Consider the following 25,661-nt stretch of genomic DNA (forward strand, 5'->3'; position numbering starts at 1 on the left):
ATTATTTACTGATTCATTTCTAATGACTTCACAGTGATGAACAAGAAGGAATAACTTGATGAGGAAGAAATGGCAACTGAGAGAGAAAGTAATTTTGTCATCATAGAATTTTGATAGCCATGAAATTGAAGACTGGGCATAATGATTAATTTATTCTCGACTTTGGGAAGACAGACTTCTAAAAATTCGGGTAGAAAGAATGTGCTAATTCATATCTCAGAGTGGACAATTATTCAAGCAATCGAATGCTCTCAGAGAAAGTATTTCTGGCTATGTAGTTATTTGTGAGGAAGAAAAATAAGATTTATCTTAAAAATTTATTACATTTGCCACTGATCTTCCTGCAAATTAAATTCTGGAAGAATATTTACATTGATATGAAAACAAGAACATGTAATAAGATGTAAATAAAACAAAAACCAATATGAAAGTTAGTGAGTATCACAGAATTGTAAGAATAGTATTAGCTGAGGCTTGTAACAATTTTTGAAAATTTAAAGTTTGTTTTTGTTAAATACACGAGAACAAAGTTAACAATAAATGGATAGGTTCACTGCCTGGAGTTGATGGTATTAAGTTAATGGGTAACATTGCAAAAATACATGACACCATATTGTTTCTGTGTTTTCCATAAATGGAAAAAGGGAAAATTTGCAAGGGTAAATGGAAAACTAAGACTAGAAAAATGATGATTAAAATGCTTCTCACTGCTCTATATGAGGTCAAGTCTCTTGGCTGGGAAAAATGTCATTTGAGGAGACTATAAGTAATTGTAGATGGGATTGTTTGAATATGATGATAAATCTTTGAGTAATTACGAGGAAATGAAAATACATCAAAACAATAAAAATTGGAAAATTTGTTTTTTTTGTTTTTTCTGAAGGGAAAAGAATCGTGATGGGACATATAAGATTAATATTTGAAAAAGAAGAGCTGGCAACTAAAAACCAAATGGACTTATGAGGAAAACATTAATATTTTCTATTCAATATTCTCAACATTGTCAAGTTGAGAAACTGTAGTAAACATCTGGAGACAGGGATTAAAAGCAAGATTTAAGTTTGTTGAAAAAATGTAGCTGAGGTATTGAGGAAGAAGTTAAATAATGGAATCGGTGTCTAAAATATACTAGTGGAAAGAAAATAAAAAGAGCAAGTTTATTATGAAAATAATGTGTGGCACTTTCACAACAAGTCTGTGAAATAGATAGTGTATATACTTAAAGTTAATAAAATTGAGTCTTAGAGGAAATTATTAACCTGCACTGGGTCATTCAGCTGGTAGTGGAAAAACTAAAATACAAATCTACATCTTGCCGACTTCAAAGCCTGGGTTAGATTGCTCTGCCTTAAGTACAGTTCAGAAAACTAAAACGTTCAAAAACGTGGCTAAATGGGATGAACGAAAAGACATGTACTTTATGACACACATTTAAAGTATCCAATTGAATAAAAAGAAGAAAGATATTGTTTAAGAGCGGCACATTTTATGTGAAAATACATTGTTTTATCCATTTATTTATATGCTTATTGAACAAATACCTATTGAGCACCTACTGTCTAATCAAGTTTTATTTTAACTTTTCAGGATCAAATGATGAACAAAATATACAATATATCCTGACATTTGATATCTACTACTAGAAAGGAGAGGGAGTTAACAAACATTATAATTACTAAATTATATGGGATGTTACATGGTGAATTTTATGTTAAGTAAAAAATATAATAGGCTAGGCGCAGTGGCTCACGCCTGTAATCCCAGCACTTTGGGAGGCCGAGGCAGGCGGATCACGAGGTCAGGAGATGGAGACCATCCTGGCTAACACCGTGAGACCCCGTCTCTACTAAAAATACAAAAAATTAGCCGGGCGTGGTGGCGGGCGCCTGTAGTCCCAGCTACTCGGGAAGCTGAGGCAGGAGAATGGCGTGAACCCAGGAGGCGGAGCTTGCAGTGAGCCGAGATGTTGCCACTGCACTCCAGCCTAGACGACAGAGTGAGGCTCCGTCTCAAAAATAGTAATAAATAATAATAATAATAAGGCAGGGAAAAGAGATAGGAAGATTGAAAGAAGAGTTTTTCAATTCCAGATAGAGCATTATATAGGCCTCCTGGAGAAGATGACTTTCCAGTAAAGGCATGAAAGAGTTGAGAAAATGTGGAGAACAGATATATGTTAAATAAAACTTCAAAAAGAGAGAATAGCTCCTGCAAAAAATCCCTTAGGCAGCAGCATCTGTAAAATGTTTCAAGAGTATTGGGAAGTGAATGTGGTGGAAATTGTATTTGGTGAGGAGGAAAGAGGTGGGAAGTAATAGCAGGTAAGAAGGGGAGCATTAGGCTACACTGCATAGGTGATTGGAAACAGTGTCAGTCATGTGCCAGGCAAATTAATACCCAATAGAATTCCACGAGCTAGGCATTGACATCTGGGTTAGACTTCCTTCTAATATGATCATGGGTGATGTATTCTCACTTAAGGCAATGGAAAACTTTATACCCAAGACAACAAGGCAAGAAAAAAAAAAACATGAGGAAAGCTGAGGTCAAAAGGACATGAAGGGTATAGAACAGAGAGCTTACAGGGAAAATAGAAAGGGTACACAGAAAATGCTGAATAGTTACCTGTTGAATTAATAACTAAATGATGAAATGTACTTCTATAATATTTTCTTATGTGCTGTTATTAAATCATATCAGAAGAAGTTCCATATAAATTATTGTGGAGGGAGTAATGGATTAACCTTATCCAAAGAGAGTTCTGGCTTTTGGCCTTTGCTTCTGGGAGGTGATTCTTAAAACGTCTTCCCTTGGAGTCTTTGTTTACTGGGGGCCTTGGACTACTATAACAATAGGATATATGATGGGGACTTTGGACCCACCAGATAGTCTAGGCTAACATTATGATTTATTATGGGGTCTTTAGGCCACCAAAGCTATACCTTTGGTCAGGTCAACCCCTAAAGGTATTGGATACTAAGGCCAGCCACCTGGGCAACTACATCTACCTGACCATGACCCATTAAAACTCTGTCACACATTATTGCTGGGAGAAGTTACGACTTTTTACAACTCCGCTGGGAGAAAACAACTCATGTTTGAAACTCTTCCCTGTGAATTTATTTCTCTGCTAATTTTAATCTGAGTATTTTCCTGTAATAAACCATAACCACAAGTAAAGCAGCTTTCAGTGAGTTCTGCAAATCTTTCTAATGATTTATGAGACTTGCAAATGGTCTTGGGGTTCCCCCAAACTTGCAATTGGTTTCAGGAGTGAAGGTGATCTTGATGCCTCCTGAACCTCTCAAGTATGAAGGAAAAAATGGCCAGTAATCTTGGGCCAGAAAGTCAGGGGAAAATGTGAGAGTAACATTAGGAGTAACATAGAAAAGAAAAGAAAGTATAACAAAGTTTAGCGCAATTTATAAGAAAACGTAATAGTGTTTGGATCTTCCCTTATTGAGGAAAGGGAGGTATGTTTAATGAGTTGGTCATTCAGCTAAAAGGCTAGGCAACCAAATAAGAAGCACATCCTTCCTCAGAGACTTTTCCCCTAGCAAGGTAGTTTGGTTTGGGATTCTCTTGATTAACAGTGATAGAGCTTCTTAGATGTTCTTAGTAGAAAGATAATGAATAATGGTTTGTATCACTTTGAATCAAAAAAAAATAGAGTGGTTTATCAGGTGTGTCTGCGACAGATGGGTGGAAGGGAGCCAGATGGTGTCTACCACTGTGGTATCCAAACTTTGGCTATTCCCTCACAGTTGCCCAAAACAATGCCCAAAGATGGCTAGCACATGCCCTTTTCTGCTTCATGGTATTCCGGTGAGTATGCTGCAGATTATTTTGAGTGGATTGTCGCTTCCTTGAGATACAAAATCACAATTGCCATATCTGAATCTTGATAATTGTAATGTAAAAACAGTTCCTGGATTGCTTCCCCTAGAAGATAGAGATGCCTTAATTTTGCAGTTATAAGGTGAGGCACCCATACATTATTCAGAAAGCAAACAATAATCTTATTTATTATGCAAAGATTTAAAGAGTGATTCTGTGAAAGGACAGGATTTAATAAAGTCTCTTCAGAGAAACATTCCAGCTAAACAAAGATGAATTTTCTTAAAGAGTTCTGCATTGGTTAAGTGTGTTATTTAATTTTTTTTTCATTATTAAAGCTCTTTAAGTACAAGCTAAAAGTCTTTTTTGTATGTAAATTACAGAAGGAATTCAAACTGGGTTAATTTGGTTGGCTTAACTGCTAAATTAAATAAACCCAAAAATATACGAAGACAAAAACAGAATAAGTTTAATTCTCCTTCCCATAGTAATTTAAAGTAGGTATTCCTGAAGAACCAGCTGCTTTTAGCTAATCTTGATTCAGAAAACAGTGTTCATACAGCTTCAATCTCTGCTGTTCCCTAAAACATTGCAATTCTCTGCATTAAGTATAGATAGAGTATGAGGCAACTTGGAGGAGATACATCTGTTTCTTAAAAGTATTGGTTCTGGCCAAGCATTATGGTGTGCACATGTAATCCCAGCTATTTGGGATGCTGAGGCAGGAGAATCCATTGAGCCACAGAGTTCAAGACCAGTCTGGGCAACACAGCAAGACCCCTGTCTCAAACAAACAAACAGACAAAAATCTTGGTCCTTCAAGAGCAGACATTACTTCCATTCAAAGTCCACAATTTAAATGAAGCTAGTTGCTAGTTGTCACTCAGAATAAAAGAAAAAGCAATTGTTTTCTTGAGTATCTAGCAACCTCTTATGATTAGCCATTAATGTTTAACTCCCTAAATTGTTATAGATATTGCCTTCTACTCTATAAGCCTATTCCGTATTTAACCACATGATTGTGAAAACATTGAAGGTAGTGGATATCAATGGGTAATACATACAAATTCACTCAGAACTAATCATGTAAAACTAACACAGTTTCTTTCTTTGGGGTTCTCTCAATTAGAAATCTTATTTGTCAGAGACCTTGAAAAAACATTTCGGGATATTCTGCTGTTCAAGAAAGATAGTTGAGAAGTACATTGCAGTAGATTTAGATAAATTCATACCTACTCTAACAACATGACCCAGAATTGGTGTAAATATATCAGTATCTGTCTGGAGAAGATGTCTGTAATGGTGTTCTTAAGGACTTAAACTTGGCCCTGTACTCATGGAAAGGTTTAAAATGCCTAAAGATGTAGAAGTTTTTTATTTATCAAACTGTGACTGCCACCAAGTGGAGTAAAGTTTAATAAGTTAATAGAATCAAAATCGGTAAGGACATGGACATTCAACAACCAAGGTCTCTAATAGGTAATAAGTATGGTAGAACTGCATATGGATGAAGAAAAAGTTCCTGTTTGGGTTTGAATACATTAAGCACACAGCAACTACTGATAATTTGAAAAAGAGCTGTGAGTTTAAGTTGATTATAAATTCAGTGGAACCATCAATTTACTGTAAAAAATATCTAAAGCAAATTTAGGATACATGAGTAGAAAAAAGTATTTTCTCAGGAAAATAGAGTTCTTCTGAATGCTGTGCTCTGATCAGCATATCTGGAAAACTTTAATTTCTAGGCAACACATTCCAAGAAGGATATTAGCAAATGTAGGGTGTCCTGAATTAGTGACCAGAATTATAAAAATTTACACACTACTTTGTGAATAATAATTGAGTGAATTAAAATTCTTTAGAGACAAAAAGGAAATACTTAAGGAAATAATTAGCAAAAGATTTTTCTTGTGGTAGCAAAATTAGCTCTATCTAATCTTCCAATCCCACTGGGTGAACATCATTTTGTGTGAATGTATTATTGTTATACTATTATTTTTGGATAATTGCTATATTGTTCATATTAATGTTCCTTGTTATATTTTTATAATAGCTGACCTAGATTATTATATAGGCAAGATGATAGGGCTTCGCCTGGACTGTATAAGATATTTCTAACACATTCTCAGCAGGTAGGAATTATTATCCCCATGTCACACACGCCATTGCTGGAGACACAGGTTATCTAATGCACACATGCTCACACTACTAATAAGTGATAGAACCTGGATTGTAGTCAAGAAATGTTCACCACAGAGTCCTGCTCCAATTACCACAACATTGCCATCCTGAGAAGTGGAGAATGTTCTGGAAAGCATATACAAATCTCAAATTATTTGCCCCACAAGAGAGCTATATGTCTAAACTGGAAATAAGAAGAAACTAGATACACAGGCCGGGCTCTGTGGCTCACACCTGTAATCCCAGCACTTTTGGAGGCTGAGGCGGGCGGATCATGACATCAGGAGATCAAGACCATCCTGGCTAAAACGATGAAACCGCGTCTCTACTAAAAAAACACAAAAAAATTAGCCGGGCGTGGTGGCTGGCGCCTGGAGTCCCAGCTACTCGGGAGGCTGAGGCAGGAGAATGACATGAACCCAGAAGGCGGAGCTTGCAGTGAGCTGAGATCACGCCACTGCACTCCAGCCTGGGTAACAGAGGGAGACTCTGTCTCAAAAAAAAAAAAAAAGAAACTAGATATCCAAATAACAGGTGGATAATTTAGAAATTCAGCACTAAGTGAAATTTTTAAATAAATAATTACCAATGTATTTTCAACTTTCAAGGCTTTATGATTTTATTATGTACATGTATGTATGATTTTATTATGTATATTATTTTGCCTTGTTTTTTTCTAGTTACCTGGGCAGCTTGTCTTGAAAAGGAGTACTATTGCTTTGTAAGCATTAGCACAAAGGAATTTCATTATGTGACTGGATATTTTGGTGTTTGCCATATTTTTGTTCCTGCTGTTTCTTTTGAATAAAATGCCTGCCCATATTCTCCTACTCCCATATTTCAACCATCCTTTTAAGGACTTTTAGGTTGTCAACTTCTCTGTAGAATTTTTCTTGATTTCCTACTGGTGATGGTTAATTTTATGCGTGAATTGGAGTAGTCTATGATCACTAGTTGTTTGGTCAAATGCTAGTCTAAATGTTGGTGCATTTTTTAGATGTCATTAATATTTAGAATCAGTTGAATTTAAGAAAAGCAGATTAGCTTCTATAATGTGAATGGGCCTCATCCAATCACTTGAAAGCCATTAGGGAAAAAATGAAAGGTTCTCAAAGAAGAATAATTCTGCCTCCCGACTGCAAAATAGAAATTCTGCCTGAATTTTTAGCCTTCAGACTCAAGTCTACATGTCAACTCCTACCTGCTTCTCCAGCCTGCCAGCTTGCCCTACAGATTCTTCACTTGCTGATCCCACTAATTTAGGATATGCTTTAAAAACACCTTCATATGATTCACTTGTATTTTGAACCTTCTCTAAATCACACTCATTGTTAAACTTTTTTTCAAATTCCTCCCAAAAGGCCTTACACGCATTTTTTTCAAAACAGTGAAAGTGGCAGAGGTTCTAATTAAATCCATGGTTGAGAACTAACTCAACCTGACTTTAGACGAAATCTAATGGTGCACACTCAAACTTCCATATGGAAAGAAGAATTTTGGAATAAAAGTATAAAGAGGAAGTAAAGGAGATCCTTATGGAAAACGTTTATATTTACTGACACTGACTATACAAAATATATAGTAAGTTGGTGGGCATAAAAAGCATCTCTCTCTCCCATCTATTTGAAATACAGTCAAGAAATAAGTCATGGAATTAGAAAGAAAACTGCTTCCATAATTATATGATGAGTGATAAAGTAGTGTGCAAACAAGAAGTGCTGTAGAAAATCAAAGGGCTTATGTAGGTTATTGGTGATCAAGAATAGTTTCCTGTAGGAAAAATGGCACAAGCTAAGCCTCAGGGATGGCAATGTGTAGAAAATGGTCAGGGAAAGTAAGGACCTTAATTTGCATATAGGATTGCTACAGGCAATTGATGAAGACTGGAGGAAATACAGGTTGCTCAAGATTGAAAAGATTTAAATAAAAATTTACACTTCATCTCAGAAAATGAGACATTTAATGTTTTAAAGCAGAAAAATAACATATAAAATTGGCATTGTAAGTAAAATAACCTAGGGATGGTATTCAATATGGACTGAAAATAAGAGGGAAATAGGGAATCGATGGAAATCATTACTATAACTAATATAGGCTTCATGAGAAAAAATTCTGTATGTTGTAAACCTTATGCCTCATAATGAATACCTTCAGAGACAGCAAAGAAAAAATATTTACAGATAAATGGTTTTTCAGTGTTATCTGTTATGCATCTGCATAATAAAATACTATAGCTCACATCACCATTTTCTTTTCCTTCTTTGTTATAGTTTCTTACCAATAAGGATTTTTGAAAATAAACTTTTATATTGATTACAATATAATAGCTTTCTTGCTAAATGCCGTGGACACAAAGATTTTAAAAACCCACTGCCAGTACATTTTAAAGTTCAGACAGGAGTCTCATACAAAAGTATTATTTGAAGAAGAGCAAAATAAAACAAGACATATTAAAGCAAAACCACTTGAATCTACTTAGAGCAGTTCAGAAAAGTTTGTTAGAAAAGTTGACTTGTGAGTTGAGTCTTAAAGAAGAGGCATCACAATGGGAAATAGACTCTGTGTAAAAAAAAAGAATGTATTTATATAAAGGCAAATAAAGCTTTCCTTGTAGGTAAAATATAGTTGGTCTAAAAGAATTGAAAAATTTTGAATATGAGTGTAGCTAAAGAAACTAATTTAAGGTAATACAGTTATTTCTTTGTTTTTTTTCCCATTACTTAAAAATATTTAGATGATATATGGTGATTAGAAATTAACAGGCACACTGGTAGAAGGGTTTATGTATACAAGGAGGGAAGATGCAGTTTGAAAAGGAGGAAGAAATTGTTCACTAAGATAAGTTCGCAGAGGCAAATAGAAGGCAGACATTTTCAAAGAATCATTTCTTAGGACATATTTTTATTTTATGATCTAAAATTACAAGAAATATTTTAAATATATGTTTAGTATTTATTTTTATTTCAATAGTTTTGGGGGTACAGGTGGTTTTTGCTTACATGGATAAGTTCTTTAATGGTGATTTCTTAGATTTTGGTGCACCTGCCACCGAAGCAGTGTATACTGTATTCAATATGTAGTCTTTAATCCCCTCACCCCTCTCCCACCCTTCCCCCTCCAGTCCCCAAAATCCATTATATCATTTTTATGACTTTGAATCATAATAGCTTACCTCTATATCATTTTTATGACTTTGAATCATCATAGCTTGCCTCCCATTTTTAAGTGAGAACATACAATATTTGGATTTCGATTCCTGAGTTACTTCACTTAGAATAATGACCTCCAGTTCCATCCAAGTTGCTGCAAAAGACAAGGAACATAAAAAATAGTTTGTTCATCTTAATGTAAATGAATTATTCTTGATAAAGTGATCATATGTAGATTTTGTTTTAAACAGCAGCTGTGCCTAGCCTGGTGGCTTACGCCTGTGATCCCAGGATTTTGGGAGGCCAAGGTAGGCGAATCAGTTGAGGTTAGGAGTCTGAGACCAGCCTGGCCAACATGGTAAAACCCTGTCATTACTAAAAATACAAAAATTAGCCAGGTGCAGTGGTGGGAGTCTATAATCCCAGCTACTCGGGAGGTTAAGACATGAGAATCGCTTAAACCCGGGAGGTGGAGGTTGCAGTAAGCTGAGAATGCACCACTGCACTCCAGCCTGGGCGACGGAGCGAGACTCTGTCTCAAAAAAATAAAAATAAAATAAATAAATAAAAATAAAAATAAAAAGCAGCTTGACCAACAGACAGCTATCCTATTTAAGGATATTAATATTTTATTTTATTTAAACTCTTAACATTATATGTACCAGCTTACTTCACACTGCTTTCCCTTTTTAAAATTTATTTTTATTTTTAAAACTTTTAAATGATTTTACTTTATTTTAATTGTGGTAAAACACATGAGATCACCCTCTTAATCATTTTTTAGTTACACAATACAGTATTGTTAATTATGGACACAATGATGGACAGCAGATCTCTGGAACTTACTCATCTTGCATAACTGAATCTTTAGACCCATTGATCAGCACCTCTCCATTTCCCCCTTCCACTGGCCCCTCACAACCAGCATTCGACCATCTGTTTCGATAAGTTTGACTACTTTAGATATCTCTAATAAGTAGAATCTTGCAGTATTTGTCCTTCTGTGACTGGCTTATTTCTCTTAATGTCCTAGAGGTTCAGGTATATTGTCATATATGAAAGGATTTTTCTTTTTAAAAAATTAAAAAATGCAGAGAAAAATGTAGTTTTTAATTGTTCAAAAGAAAATTCAAACAGATTATCAAGTTGTGAATTTCTCCTTCACCTTCCATTTATTTGTTTTAAATTCAAGCATCAAGATTTATCTAAAATGAGGAATTTGCCAAAAGGTGTTAGGTGGCAGGAATATTTCCTCTGAACCAAAATTCAATTGTAAACAGAGTAAAATATTTTAATTTATTAGAATATTTGCCTAATTTATTTTGATTGTTCACAGTTCAAGTATAAATTGATCAATGGAAAGTGTAGATAACTGTCCACTTGCATTGTTTATGTGATTTAAATATATACTCAACTGAAGAGTTCTTTACAGACTGGGTTTATTGATGGGATCATTTGTTCTCTCATTGTGGGAAGGTTTTAGAAAGAACAAATATTCCAGTGATGGAATACCATAATTAAAACACTTTTAATCCCTTAAGACCTGCCTCAGCAAAAGTTCTTTTAGCATATGATATATAATTTTCAACTTTCTGATATGGTAACCAAAACCAAAAAATAATTCACCAAACTGTTTATTGTCTCACAATATTTACCAAGACTTACATACTTTTATAAAAGAACATTTATCAAAAATTGTGTATTCTCCATAGCCAATTCTGAATAATTAAAACCAAACAAACAGAAATTTCATGGTACATTTTAATTTTACTGGTGTAAATCCTCATTATTTCCAAAGTTTTGCATTAACATAAGCATTTTTACCTGCAACTCCATACTAATAATTATGCATGATTAAACTTTTCAATTTATAGAAAGCAAATAATATTACATTTATTCTGTATATGTAACATTTATTCTGTATATGATATTACTAATATATTTCATATTTGTATGATTTATTTATTTTGAGACAGTCTTGTTCTGTTGCCCAGGCTGGAGTGCACTGGCACAATTTCGGCTCACTGCAACCTCTGCCTCCCAGGTTCAAGCGATTCTCCTGACTCAGCCTCCCGAGTAGCTGGAACTACAGGTGCCCACCACCACACCCAGCTAATCTTGTATTTTTGTGGAGATGGGGTTTTGACATGTTGGCCAGGCTGGTCTTGAACTCCTGACCTCAACTGATCCACCTGCCTTGGTCTCCTAAAGTGTTGGGATTACAGGCATGAGACTTTTTAAGCCAATATTATTTTCTAGTGTCCTCTTTTACTCATATTTTTCTGCCTTAATATTTTATGTCCATTTATATGTAATTTTAATATGTAATTTATGTATACTCTACATTGATATATAAATTTTGTTATATATAACATTTTATTCTTATTAAGGCATTGCTACATATGACAGGAAAGCCAGTGTAAATACTTTTGATCCTTATATCATTAAATTATTTCACACGAGAGCTGCTAATTTTTGGAATAAAATATTAACATATTTTTATAACTAGTGTGTATATATTTTATATATATGAATCTGTGAATGTGTATGTGCTTACTAACACACACTTCTATAACACATAGATGTATCTGTATATGTTTGTGTACATATATATGTAAAAGACAGCATGGCATAAATATATGCCATCATTTTGTAAATACAAGATTGCTATTTTAGGCTAGTATATTTTCACATTTTATCTTTAGATTCTGCAAAGGCTTAAGAGATGCTCATGTGGCTATTTTAGAAAAGTAATTGGATTATATAGCAAACTAAAATAGTCTGTTGACATTGAGACAAAGATAAGTGAAAGCTGTGTATATTACTGCAATTTGTTGTCAACAAGAAATCACTGTGTGCTTACTTCATGAAAGGAACTGCTTGAAAGACTCAAGAAATCATCACATTCATCAGTGGTTTTCTTTATTCATGTGGTGGTCATAAGCATTAAGGAAGGGACCATAATTTGCAAAGAGAGCTTTTACAAACTTTAAGTAAATACTTATTGAACATCTACTTTGTAAGAGGCCCTATGAAGACATTACAGGAGCATATATGAATCTTGATGATTATTTATATTTTCCAGCACAGTGTGAGTGTCAAGTTCTATTCTAGCACAGTGTTGGTGTTAGATTCTATTCTAATATATTTTCCTGATAGGTGAAAAACGTTTATCGCCTAAGTTTTCAGTGTAATATATTTTACACAAATATGTGTGAGTAATCTGAGTACTGGCAACTCGTCTAGATTTACTTCATTCATAGAGACCATGACTGCTGAGTATCTACAAAAAGAGCTCTAGAGGAAGTAACAAAATTAACTGTGAGAATAAAAAATGTATAGAAGGTTTCAAACCAGAATAGGTCAGTGGTCCATCTAATTGAGTATGCAGTTTCTGAGTATTTCAATAAAAATCTAAGATTAGATCATTTAGAGATAGTCATCAATATGGCATTAAAAAGTCACTTAATTTTCAATCGTCTACTGCAAAGCAAAATCATTTTTTGCTCCACCTAATGATGTACTTAGAGTCAAGCTAAAAAGTTATTACCTATCTAAATATTGAATATAAAAATAATTTTATTTAAAATAACAACTCTTCCTATCACACAACTTCAGAAAAATAAATCATGAACTTTTAATCACTTCTGCTTACTACATATACACAAGTTTTTTTTATGGACTTCTAAATTGTGAGAAACAGAGGAGGTTGCTTAATAAGAATATGAAAATATTTGTTAAAGTAATAAAATACTTAATTTTGAGACTCTCAACCTAAGTTTTATAACCTGGATGTTGAACAGAAATTCTTGAAACATCATTATTTTTCTTTTGTAGAATACACATTATATTTATATATGCTGTAAACTTCACAGGTCTGTAATCCACAAGAAAATTAAAGCTGATACATGTAAAAGCACTGTTATACTAAACAATTATATTTAAATATAGGAATCACACTATACAGAGTGACAAACTATCTTTTTATTTTAATACAATTAATTGTGTAAATAAGCCAGCTAATGGTGGATTTTTAAAGCATGATTTTAGAAGTGAATGTGTTTTTTATCATAGAAGTAACAATTTTCTAAAGTAATGGACATTTGCCAAAATTATAGAATAATATTCAGAAGTTTTGGTTAGGGTCTACTATTGGTAAATCTATTAGCTTCATCAACACTTGGTAAGAAATTACCTAAACAAATAAATATAAGGTAAATAAAATTTCAGTAAAAATGAAAAGAGTAGCAACATAAGAAACCCATTTTTATGCCACCCACTGAAAAGCAAGGTATTAAAGCAACATGAAAAAAAGATCCAGTCATTTGAGTTCTCGCAATTAATTTTATTATATCCTTCCTAAAATTGAAAAATGAATGAGAGGTACAAAAACTTTTACACATTTAGGGGATATTCCAAATATATGCAAAACCCTGCACTCAGAACATTCACTAAGTTGACAGACCCTTACATTTTTATGGGGCTTATCTCCTATGCTCTAGCATGTGTCTTTCTAAGTCTGCTACTTCCTACCCCCAGATTCTGACATCATGATGTCTTCACTGCCATAAACCGGTGGTAAAATCCTATGAGATGGAGAGATAATCCATATCCCAGAAGACCAAAATAGGGCATCAAGACTAAGAGTCAAAGAAAGATGCTGAATTTATACTTCTGCCCTTAGTTTTCTAATTCTTTCTGTATACTGGTATAAAAAAATTAAATATTATTGCCACGTGCCAGATGACAGAGGTTATATTGATTTACTTTAATACAAAGAACACATATGAGATAGTAGCAAGCAAGGAAACATCACCTGATTAAACCTAAAATAAATTGTTGCCATTTTTCATGTTCTATCCCAAGAAAACAGACAAGTAAAATATGAACACAGTAGAAATCAACATTTCATCTTCCAAGTTTTGGACAGTGATGTTAATTTCTGCTTTTCCCAAAGGATGTATTATTGAATATAGTTTAAATTTTGTCAGAGTATTAATTCAGGGAATTACATTCTTTCTCATATAACCCTAGTCCCAGGCACGTGAAAGCCAAAAGAAAAAACACAGATATGAGTCTACCAATTTCTGAAAAATAACACCATACCCATGAGCTTGGAAAATTAAAAAATTAATGGATTCATATAAATGTCATACTAATTTTTAAATCATTTTAGGCAGAACTTTAACACCTAAATCCCCAAACCAATTCATAATATTGATCCTCATTGGTCCCCTAAATTACCAAGAACTGTTATTAACTAAAGCCAGTGTCTATATTATTCTCCCAAAAAGTTCTACATATTTTCCTTTCCCAAGTAAGTACTCGTTTTCTGAAGAAGACTCTGGTGCTTACAGTAACAATCAAGAAAAAGAGTTATGGTGTGTACTTGTGAGATTATTTTAGGGCCTTCCTGAAATATTTCAAGTCCTTACCAGTGGACTTGGGATTCATAACCTGATTGAAGTTGAGGATTAAGTGAGAGGCAGAGACTTTCCATCACTGTGACTCCTATCAGGCTAGATTCACAAGATTTAGAGATATGTTGTTATACAGAAAAAAAGACCTTAGAAGATCCAACAATTTATGCTCCAGGAACTCCAATTTTGGTTGGCCATTTTAATTACTGCTTTTGCTCTGCTGCATTGAAAGGCAATTATTTCTGCTTTTCTTTTACCAATTAAATATGATTGCCTTTGTGAATAGTGAGACCCTGTCTCTATTAAAAGAAAAATTAAATACTATTGCCTGGATTTTTCTTCACCAACATTCTAATATCTGTATTAAATTTAGGGAACTTATTTCAACAGTGACATCCCAAACTTTATTGATACCTCCATTTTTTGTTATCTTTTTTCAAGGTTGCAATTGCTTCCTTTCTCATGTGTTCTCAATGCCTTGGTGAAGGAAGTCTTCTTTGAGAACTGTCCTAGTAGACGTATTTAGGAAATGGTTGTGCAAGCAGATCTTGATGGATCTACTGCACCAAATTTATCTATCTAATTTATTGAATGCTTTAATATCCATTCTATCTAAGAATGATTTGTCTTTTCAACTCATTCTCAGTAAGCCATCACTGAGTCGAAGATTCTATTTAGTAACCACAAAAATGATATTACTAGATGTTCAACTTCTCACATTGAACCCAGAATCATTGGTAAGTCTATTTCATTAAAAGTAAGTCCCACCTAACTTATGTTCTCCCTTCCTCATCTAGCACCACAAGACTTAATTGCCATACATATTTCCCAGGATCAGGATCCCTAATACACATTAATCAAATCTTGAAATTCTATTGGCATTGTAATCCTTCGTCTCCTGGGTTTAATTTTTTATTAACCTCATGGGGCATGCAACAATCTGCATCTAGTAATAGATCAAGAAATAATGACTGTGGGAAAGGTGGGCCATGGCAATTGGAATTTTCTTGCAAGGTAATGACCTCTTGTGTGACTGTAACAGTAACTCTATAGAAAACTGGACCTTCCTTATATGACGGGAGGATTCTGTTTCTGCTAGCATTGGAGATACACAGTAGCATTCTAGAGTTCAGAGCTTTTAGAATTTCCCAAACTTTTCCAGTCTTTGCTAATCAATCCCTTAATCCTTATTTAAAAAACTTTACATTTCTATGAATTGCTTTAGGAATCAACAAAGTCACACATCTGCTTTAAGATACATGAGCCATCAGGCTTCAACAAAATGCTTTTAAATAAATCATAGAAATTCTCATTCTCTGACATGTCCTGAGTCAAGTTAACTCTAAATCTATTGCTTTCTTTCTTCAGTACTCCAGTGCAATGAGAAAAACACACTTTGCCCAGAAATATTTATTGTCCTCTGGCAACTGCCACTTGTTCTATCAAAGTCATGCATTAAATAAGCACTTTATGTCAAATGAACACAAATGAGAATTTCAGTAATCAGTAACTTTTGCCACAGCATACCACAGACTACTGTGTTCCACCTTTCAATGTTAAATAATCTTTAACTCATTGAAACACAATTAACATCTTGATTTTCCAGATTCTAAATCTTGAAGATTGATAGCTTACAAAAAATTCTAATACCAAACAATGTCAAGTGGATCTAAGTTACAGAGAGAAAAATATCTCAAGTTATTTTAAGAATGAGCTGCCTACAAAGTTGTTATAAGGACTGGAAGAATATGTCCTAGCTTCTGTCCCTACAATTAACTCCCAGGATAACATTACTGAACTTTGCTTACAAAGAAACTAACTTTTTTCAAGGCCAGGGAGTGGGATTTCATCCAGACATTATCAAAGGTTGAGCTCCCAGAATAGGCAAGCTGTGCTGACAAGATCAGAAGGTTACTATCAGAACCGTCAGCTCCAGTTTGCTGCAAGATCTGAACTGGCAAAATGGATCTCATGAACTACTGTGTGTTCCCCACTTAACTCATCTTCAAAACCAAGTATGTGGGTGAATCAGAATTTTAGAACTAAAATTATAACCAGAATCTCTGCTATAAGCCAGGAACATGAAACGTTTAGTTTCCCAGTGTCTATATTAAAGGAAGATACACCAGCAGGATCTTGTACCATATTTTGAATAGGCCAGTCTACTGAATCTACCACAATCATCAGCATTCTAAGATTCAGCTGAGGACAAGACCCTGGCACTTAATAGAATAGAAGTGACTGAAAATTGAATGATGGTGAGTACCAATGACGAGTTCCAAAATCTGTGTTTAAGGCTTGTGATTTCTGCACACTAATAATTTGTCCCATCCTCTTTTTAATCCATTGCTTTGTTTTTATATTAGTATTAACAATTTAGATAAGGCAACTTCTAAAGTTTCTAATACGTATTTTCACATATTCTATCATTTTAGAACAACTGTTGAAAAAAAAGTGTTGTGGGATTTAGAGGTTTTCTGTTTTTTACAATGGATTTGTTTTAGCCCATGGAGGAAGATTAGAGAATATGTGTGTGTACTAGTAAGAAAATGTTAAATTTATTAAGATTCAGCAAGAGTAGAATAAACATCAGACTTATAAACTCATAAAAATCTACAAGGAAAAAAAGCAGGAAATAGAAAGTTTTGTTATGCCTCATAAAATGAAGCAAACAGTTGCCTGAAGCTAAGCGGGAAAAACACATCTAGACACAAGGGACAAGCTTTATAAAATAACTAATTTCAAACGCAAAGATTTTGGGCCAAAATATATATTTAAGGACACAATAAAAAAAATACTGTAGAAAACACCATGAACAGATTTGGGTATTGGGACAACCTGTATGCCTATTTCTTTTTATTTTCTAATTTCCATCTCTCAGTGCTCTGTCTGTGATATTTTATAGCAATAATCATGCAACGTTTATTTCTAAGGGAGAGAAAAAAATAAGGCACAAAGCCAGTTGTCAGAATCATGTACTGTAGATTGACAGAAAATATCAAAACCAATGTGTCATTAATTAGATTGTCCTAATCTTAGAATGCTTTTACCCTTCTTAGAAATAAAGAAAGAAGCAATTGGGAGAGGTTGGGAAAAGAAGGAATGATGGAAATGATAAAACAGCAGGGAGAAAGGGAAGTGGCAGGGAAAGAAAGTCAACTGGGAGCAGAGGGAGACAGGGAAAGAGGAGGATAAAGGGCAGAAGAAGGAAGAAAAGAAGCAAGAAGAGGGGAAAGGGGTTAGGAAAGGAAAGATGAAGAGAAAGAAAATGTAAAAGAGAAGATAAGGAGAAAGAATTAGCAGGAAGGAAGAAAACCAAAAGGAGACTGGAGATTGAGAAGAAACAATGGCAACAATAACCACATCATCTATTGGTACTCCAAATGAGGTGAATTGTCACAATCAGCTGTATTCTCCCTTTTCTTTTCAGGGACTAAATTTCCCCTAGATACAATAAATTTTTTTTTAATTTTGTTTTGTTTTTTCTAAACTTAATTCCTCCTGATTGAGTATTAGTACACAATAAAAATATGTATACTTGCAAAAATTAGCCCGGCATGGTGGCGGGTGCCTGTAATCCCAGCTACTCAGAAGGCTGGGGCAGGAGAATTGCTTGAACATGGGAGGCAGAGGTTGCAGGGAGCCAAGATCACACCACTGCACTCCAGCCTGGGTGACAGAGCAAGGCTCCATCTAAAAATGTATACTTGGAAAAACTCTTAAAATACGGTGTCTGTGTGAGTGTGTGTGTGTGTGTGTGTGTAACACCAAAATAAAACATTTTAATCTTGAACTTTGAAATTATCTTTTGTTATTAATAAGCTGATCTGCAACTCATAAAATTGTTTAACAATATTCACCATCGCACTAGGGATACATTAAAAAGGGAAAAGATTTACCATTTGGTTCCTATATCAGAGGTAATAAGTTGGTTAAAGTTGAAGTGAACTAACCTCTACTCACTACAAGTATGGTCAGAAAAAAATAAATAAAAAACTGAAAAATGTAGATTTTAGGTATACCAACTTTCCAAAAAAATGTTAAGAAAACCAGAATAAATGAAGAGCTAAACCTAGTCACTCTACATGGGATCGTTCCATTTCTTTTTAGTTCTCCCTTTACTTTGACAAAATGTCACATCTTCTTGTCAGGGGACTATACTGCTTCACAGGAGCCCTATTATTTCATTCTACTGGTACAAATAAAAGTATGCCAACTGAGAACCAAAATGAAAATAATGCTAACTCTCAATATATTTCTAGTTATAATCAACCAGATAGGCTATTCTTAGGCATTTGCTAGTTTTTTATTTTTCCTTCCATTTTCGGTCCCTGATGAATTGAATAAGATTAATAAAAGTAGGACTGGTGATGCATGACTCTGAACCATAGAACTGTCAGTCATGAAGTCTGAACCATAGAACTGTCAATCATGAAGTCTGAACCATAGAACTGTCAATCATGAAGTAAATTTGGTATTTTTCTAATCTTTGTCATTTACGTTTCAAGTGTATAAAAAAGTACATTTAAAAAGCCAATGATTACTGTGACTATTTTAAATGACAAAGTATTTCATTTGAATTCTGTGTCAAGATAAAATTGTCCTTTTTTTTAGAATTAAAAAGGCTTTGCATTTCATATTTCTTATCAGTGCTTCAATATAGAATGTTTTGTAATGATTAGTGACGTTGTAAACACCACCAGGTTTTTCCAACACTAAGTGCTAGTCTTTTCCAGTAAATATTTTTTCCTTAGACAAAATAACCAAACCTAACACAATTTCAAGAGATGGTGATACCATCAGTATAATAACCCAAATTACAAAAATGGCAATACTTAAAATCATGCATATTGTTTCACCATTTCATAAAACTTATTTTAAAATTTCCACAAACTTTCCCAGTGTAAAAGACTCCTCAAAAACTGCATGATAACATGAAACTACAAAATTCACTTTGGAAAAGTAGGGAGTTATTTTTCTAATTTTGGCTTTAAGATCTTTTTTTTTAATGGGTTAGAAGATACGGTGAGGAATGTATTGAGAGAGGTGGAGAAAAAGGAGCTTCCAGTCGATGCATTCACCATGTCTGAAAATACTTCAGTTATACAAAGGGAACACTTCAAGAGTAAGGATATATTATAAATAAGTCTCTCAGCAAGATGAACAGATGAACAGTTCAATTGCACCCACAGGAGAGAGGTCTTCTTGGAGAATGCTTGTTTATAGAATCTTCTGTAAAATAGAGTTGGCTACTTCTAATGATTCGTCTTGTACTAAAACAATATCATAAGAGTCCATGTACTTTTCTAAAAGCTCATCCACTCTGTCATTTAGATATCCAACTTTCAGAATGTGCTCAACATTGGCCACTCCATCTGCCATTCTTAAGTCTCCTTGGGAGTCTCCCAGAAGAATTATGTTACTATTGTCTTTTAGTTGATTGAAATATTCTGTATTCCTCAAGGCACCATCATGTTTGTTAAATATATGAATTAGAACTCCTTTAAATCCTTTGAGCACCCCAGTTTCATCAAAATCCATAAAATTGGACACAACTTTGACATTTGGATGATAAACACCAGCTTGACGAATAACCTCCTCTAGTACATCGCTGATTCCAGCCGAAAATATGAACACCGGGATACTATGTTGTTGGAGCTTATCAAAGAAATTCTTCATATCTTTCTTTGAGCATAACGTCAGATTCTGCCACAATTTCTTTAAGTTTAGCTTTTGGTAAAGCTTGTTGAACAAGCAAACCATGTGATTTAGTATACCATTCCACCATATAAGGGTACTTCTCTTCTACAGTAAGAACAGGATCAACTTCAATAGCGTAATATTTTTTCTTTAGTTGCAATAACTTTTTTCTACATTCATCTGTAATCAGCTGACAGTTGTCAATGCTATTATGACATGTTGGGCATCTTTTCCCTTTGTATGAAAATCTACTGAGTGTCATATCAAAGTCCGTTATTATCTGAAGTTTGGCAGCTCCTCCTTTGATAAGACCACAGATCATTTCTTCTACTCTTGTAAGGTTCTTGATTCGAACTGAACTTTTCTGGAATTCTGGCATCATCTCGATGATCTTGGTCTTCCGCCCCGTCTTCCTCTTCAAGGTGAATATGTACTGAGCCAGCACCACCCCCGCCACCAGGGCGCACACGCTGGCGCTCACTACCGCGCCCACCCTCGCCACGGCCGCGCGGTCCATGGACCGGGCCCTCATGCGCGTCCAGGCAGGAAAAAAACAGGCAACTCTCGGAGACTGCGAGTCTCGGAAGCGCGGGATCCCAGAGCACCACGGACCATAAAATTGTCTTAAATTGAGTGTTCATCTCAGCTGTTAAAACTAAAAGAACCTCTAACCTCATAATCTGTACCTTTCATCCATGAGTAAGGAAAACAAGTTGAGGACTGAGACCAAAGTTTCTGACACCATCTTTTTCTGCATAAAGCAATAATATATATTCCTGACATCAAGTTGTCTCTTTGCTCTCTTTCTGAAGAGAGCAAACAAGTTCTGAAATAAAAGATAGTTGCTTATTTTGCTCTCAAATAAGTATGAGTTCAGAGGAAAATCCTCCAAAACTTGTAAGTACAAGGACCAGGCTATCCCCAGCTCACTGCTCCACCATTCCTGATTTGTGTCTCTTACCCTCATAGTTCAGGAAAGCACCTCTATGGGAGGTGGAAGGTAGTAGAATCAATAAATTTTAAAGAAAACTGTAAATGGAATATTTTTGTGGGTTTCTTGGTTTGTTTGTTTGCTTGTTTTTTTTTAAAGAAACGCTTCTAGAAGTCACCATGAGACACTGCCACTTACATTTCATTGACCAAAATACTGTCATATGTCCACACTTCCTTGCAAACAGTTCTGAAGAACAGATTTACCATTCTAGATAGCCATGTGCCTAGCCCCAAATCAACAGCTATATCACACTAGAAAACACATAATAGATGACGAAGACATCTATATTTCTCTGCCGTATTTTCTTTCTCATTTTATTTTCATTCTATGTTAACATTATTTTTTATTTTTATTTCCCATTTTCTGAAATCTCATCTTTAATTATCTAAATCAAGATTCCTGTGGAGAGTATAAAATAGGTAAGTCCTTGTCATTTCTTAAAATTCTTTAATATTAGTTTTTGAGTGGCAGGTTTTTTAGAATTACGATATTGTTTATAATGTTTCTGTTTGTGTGTGTGTGTTTATTAGTTGTAGAAATATAACTCCAGTAAAGTGACTAAAATATGTTGTTTTCAATATATGATAACAAAGAATATTAGCTTAAGAATTGCAATATGATTAGTTACTGAAGTACATCAGTGACATGATGCATTATTTGGTTACTATATTGTTTAAAAATACTTTTTGTCCTACCTTGGTGAAGGATTATTACTTCTGTGCCACATAAGCCTCCAGCTTGTTTATGGAATTTGCTTTCATGAAAAAAAGAAAGTGAGTGGAAATGACATGTATCACTTTGGAGCAGAAACTCCAGGATCCAGCACATAATTCACTATTTTCTCTTTTTATTTTGCATGAGTACAAACATTGCCCAGATGGAAGTGAATCCATGTGCCTAGGTCCAGAGCAAAGACAATGAATTCATTTGGCCTGAGAGATTAGAGGATAGTTTTGTTTACTGTACCATAATCTTGACTATTCTGACTTAAATAATTATTATGTTTAAATTTCAGGATTTCTCACACTCACTAATATTTTGTCAACAAACATCTAGCTCTTTATTTAAAAGGGGTTTTATTTAAAGCCTTCCAGTGTTTTCTAAAAACTTAGAATACAATCTAAATGCCTTAACTGAGATAACAAATTTAAAATGTTTGTGTTCCTGGCCTATGTCTGCCATGCCATATGGTAAAACTATTCCCCACTGGTACTACACTTCATCCTCACTGACCTTCTTTTTGTACCTGAAAAAAATACATCATGTGTGTTTCAAGCTCAGAACCTTTGTAACAGCTATCCCTTCTGCCTAAATTACAGTTACTCTGACCTAAATATGTCAGCTCCTTCCTGTCACTCAGATCTTATCTCAGACATACTTGAGAAAAGTATCTAAAGAATTCCCATTCTGTCAGAAACTCAATCTTAGAACTTTATTTTCCTCATGTCACTACCATTATTTTGTTTAATTTGTGGTTTACCAAGTTATTTTATGTATGTTCTTCCTGATTTCTAAGGAACTAGAGGGCAAGTAGCATTTGTGGCCTGACACAAAGTAAGTAAGCCATACATGCTTTTTGAATACATGGTTGAGATGATATATGACACCATTTGTGTTAGATGAGTCTGACAGGGAACTCCTACTGTTAATTCAGAAGAAACGTAAAGGATATGACGGCAATTTCTATCATTGGCTGAATTTCCAAAGCTTTTGAGAGTAAGACTTTAAAAAGATCATCACTTGAATGAATCTAGTATCATTTTCTCTAACTGTATCATCATCTGTAAATGTTCAGATGCAGATTAAAATGGGTGATAATACTGCTATTCTGTAGCAATTGAAAATTCATGTTTATAGTGCACTTTGAATTTTCAAATGCTGAGAAACATCTTTAGTTAGAGAAAATTGTGAATAAATTCAGCAGTAAAAATTTATGTGGTGCTATGGTTTGAATGTGTCTCTCAAAGATCATGTGTTGGTAACTTAATCCCAAATGCAACAGTGTTGAGAGGTGGAACCTTTAAGAGGTGATTAGGTTGTAATGACTATGCCATAATGAGTGGATTAACGTCATTATTACAGGAGTGGTTTTGTTACCTTCAGACTGGGTTTGTTATGAAAGTGAGTTCAGCCTTCTCTTGTTTTCTTGTCATGTGGTGTCTTTCACCATGTTTTGACACAGCGAGAAGGACCTCACCAGGTGCCATCCCTCAATCTTGGACTTCCTAGCCTCCACAACTGTTGAGCCAAATAAATTCTTGTCTATGAATTTCCCAGTCTGTGCTATTCTGTTGTAGCAGTACAGAATGGACTAAGACATACGGGTAAACTGTTTATTGTTCTAATTAATGAAGGCAGTTTACACAGGGGCATCTACAATGAAGCTCGATTGATTCTTAGTGTTCTGAAATTCTGCATCTCTTCTCTCAATTATGCAATTTAAAAATATCCACTTTTCCATGTATAAATGCAAGTAGGAGGATTTAAATTCAGATGACAACAGACAGGCTGGGATTCAAAGAGAAAACCCTTGCATGATCCAAACCATGGCAGTTTAGGGTATAGTTGTTCAATTAGAGTACCTTTATGATTCATAAAAGGTGGTTTTAAAAGAAAATATTCTCTCAGCTCTTTCAGAGAGTTAACATAAAAACATTGTTTTATTAAACAAAGTTTACCTAATGGGAAAATTGCTTTCATAGAACTAAATATATTAAGCTAGTTATAACTTCTGAAGACAATGCAAGTTTATAACTTTGTTACTTTACCAGGATTCATGTGACATTTACATAATTAAGAGTGATAAATGTTAATTAAATAATTTGCTTATTGATGATTCCTTCCATTTTGTCCCTAACTTCTTTATAGCACTATTCTCCCAACACAAAGTATCCTTATTAGCTGAAGAAGGTAAATTTAACAAAAGACATGCAAGACTTTTACAGTTATAACTACAAAAATATATCATAAATTCTAACTAAATTGTCCTATAAAGCCAATGCAGGTTTAATCAAACTCTCAACAGGCTTTTTTATTGGTAGAATTTCGCTATCTGATTCTAACATACGTAGAGAAAGGGCAAAGGACCTATAACAGGCAGACTAATCTTTAGAAAAAGAGAGCGAGATTATAGGATTGGCATTATCAGATTTCGATACTTATTAAAAACTTATACTAATCAGGACACTATGGTATTGGAATAAAATTCAACAAAAATATTCATGACTCTGAATAAAAAGTCCAGAAGTAACATCCACATTTACATAGTTCATTGCTTTTCAAATAAAGTGCCAAATAAATTCAACAGAGGAAAATAAAGTGTATTTTAAATAAATGATGTGAAACAACAGAAAAAAATTTATGGGAAAAACGTAAAAGTAAACTTCAACCCCTACCTCCCACTGCACACCATAGTTATTTTACAATGAGTGGTAGACACAAAAAGTAAAGCTAAAACTATAAATATCCTAGAAAAAACATAGAAGAATATTTATAAGGCCTTATAATAGTCAAGCATACCAGATTGAAAACACAAAATGTACTGTTAAAAGTAGCTGATTATCTGTACTTCATCGAATTAAACACTTCAGCTCATCAAAAGACAATACTTAAGAATGAAAAGGCAGGCTCAGAAAAGAAAATATATTTTTGTACATATGTCTTTCTAAGGAGTGGTATTCAAAATATGTAATATAACAAATCAATAATTAAAAAATTGCTCAATTAAAATTGACTGAGGAAGAGAAGAACAACAGTTTACAAAAGAAGATATATGAATGGCCAATAGGTATTTAAAAACTCTTCAATATTAGCATTTGGAGATATCCAAATTAAAACTACAAGCCAGAAACACTGGAATGACAAAACTAAAAGGACTAAACCACCAAGAACTGCTTAGGGTACAGGGATACTGGAATCCTAATACTTTGCTAGGCATATTAAGTGGTTTTACCATTCAGGAATAGAGTGTGTAGTTTCTTTAAAAAGTTAAACATGCAGCTGCCCCATGAGCTGGCAATTTCATTTCTAGGTTTTTAGTCTAGAGAAATGAAGACGTGTGTACAACGAAAGACATGTTCACAAAGTCAATGTAATTAGGAGCTAAACACTAAAAATTTGGGTAACTAAATTGTGTAAACACTGAAACAACCAATCATCCTCAACATGGTAATGAATAAGTGCTTTGTGGTACATTCTTGCAATTGAATATTATTTTTAAAAATAAACAAATATCACATGGAACAACATAGATGGATCTCAGAAATATCATATTTAACAGAAGAGGCCAAACCCAAAAGACCACTGTGGGATTCCATTACATGAATATCAACAAGAGGAAACTCTAACTTACGACGATGAGAACAAGAACAGCAATGTCGG

At 34.2% G+C, this 25,661-nt stretch overlaps 1 long non-coding RNA gene and 1 pseudogene across 1 annotated transcript in view, besides 2 other annotated features; one reads left to right on the forward strand and one right to left on the reverse strand.

Moving 5' to 3' along the window:
• Nucleotides 1–25,661, forward strand: part of LINC01378 (long intergenic non-protein coding RNA 1378) — a 260,706-nt gene that overhangs the window by 126,893 nt on the left and 108,152 nt on the right. The window lies entirely within an intron of this gene.
• Nucleotides 1,362–1,863: an enhancer, noted in NCBI's record as "H3K4me1 hESC enhancer chr4:118477807-118478308 (GRCh37/hg19 assembly coordinates)". NCBI's record gives its function as "activates a minimal SCP1, AML or CMV promoter by ChIP-STARR-seq in naive H9 embryonic stem cells {active_cell/tissue: H9 hESC(naive)}" and the evidence as "EXISTENCE:reporter gene assay evidence [ECO:0000049][PMID:30033119]".
• Nucleotides 1,864–2,363: an enhancer, noted in NCBI's record as "H3K4me1 hESC enhancer chr4:118478309-118478808 (GRCh37/hg19 assembly coordinates)". NCBI's record gives its function as "activates a minimal SCP1, AML or CMV promoter by ChIP-STARR-seq in naive H9 embryonic stem cells {active_cell/tissue: H9 hESC(naive)}" and the evidence as "EXISTENCE:reporter gene assay evidence [ECO:0000049][PMID:30033119]".
• Nucleotides 19,204–20,875, reverse strand: NT5C3AP1 (NT5C3A pseudogene 1; annotated as a pseudogene).

This window comes from Homo sapiens, chromosome 4, assembly GCF_000001405.40.
Source record: "Homo sapiens chromosome 4, GRCh38.p14 Primary Assembly".
NCBI lineage: Eukaryota > Metazoa > Chordata > Mammalia > Primates > Hominidae > Homo > Homo sapiens.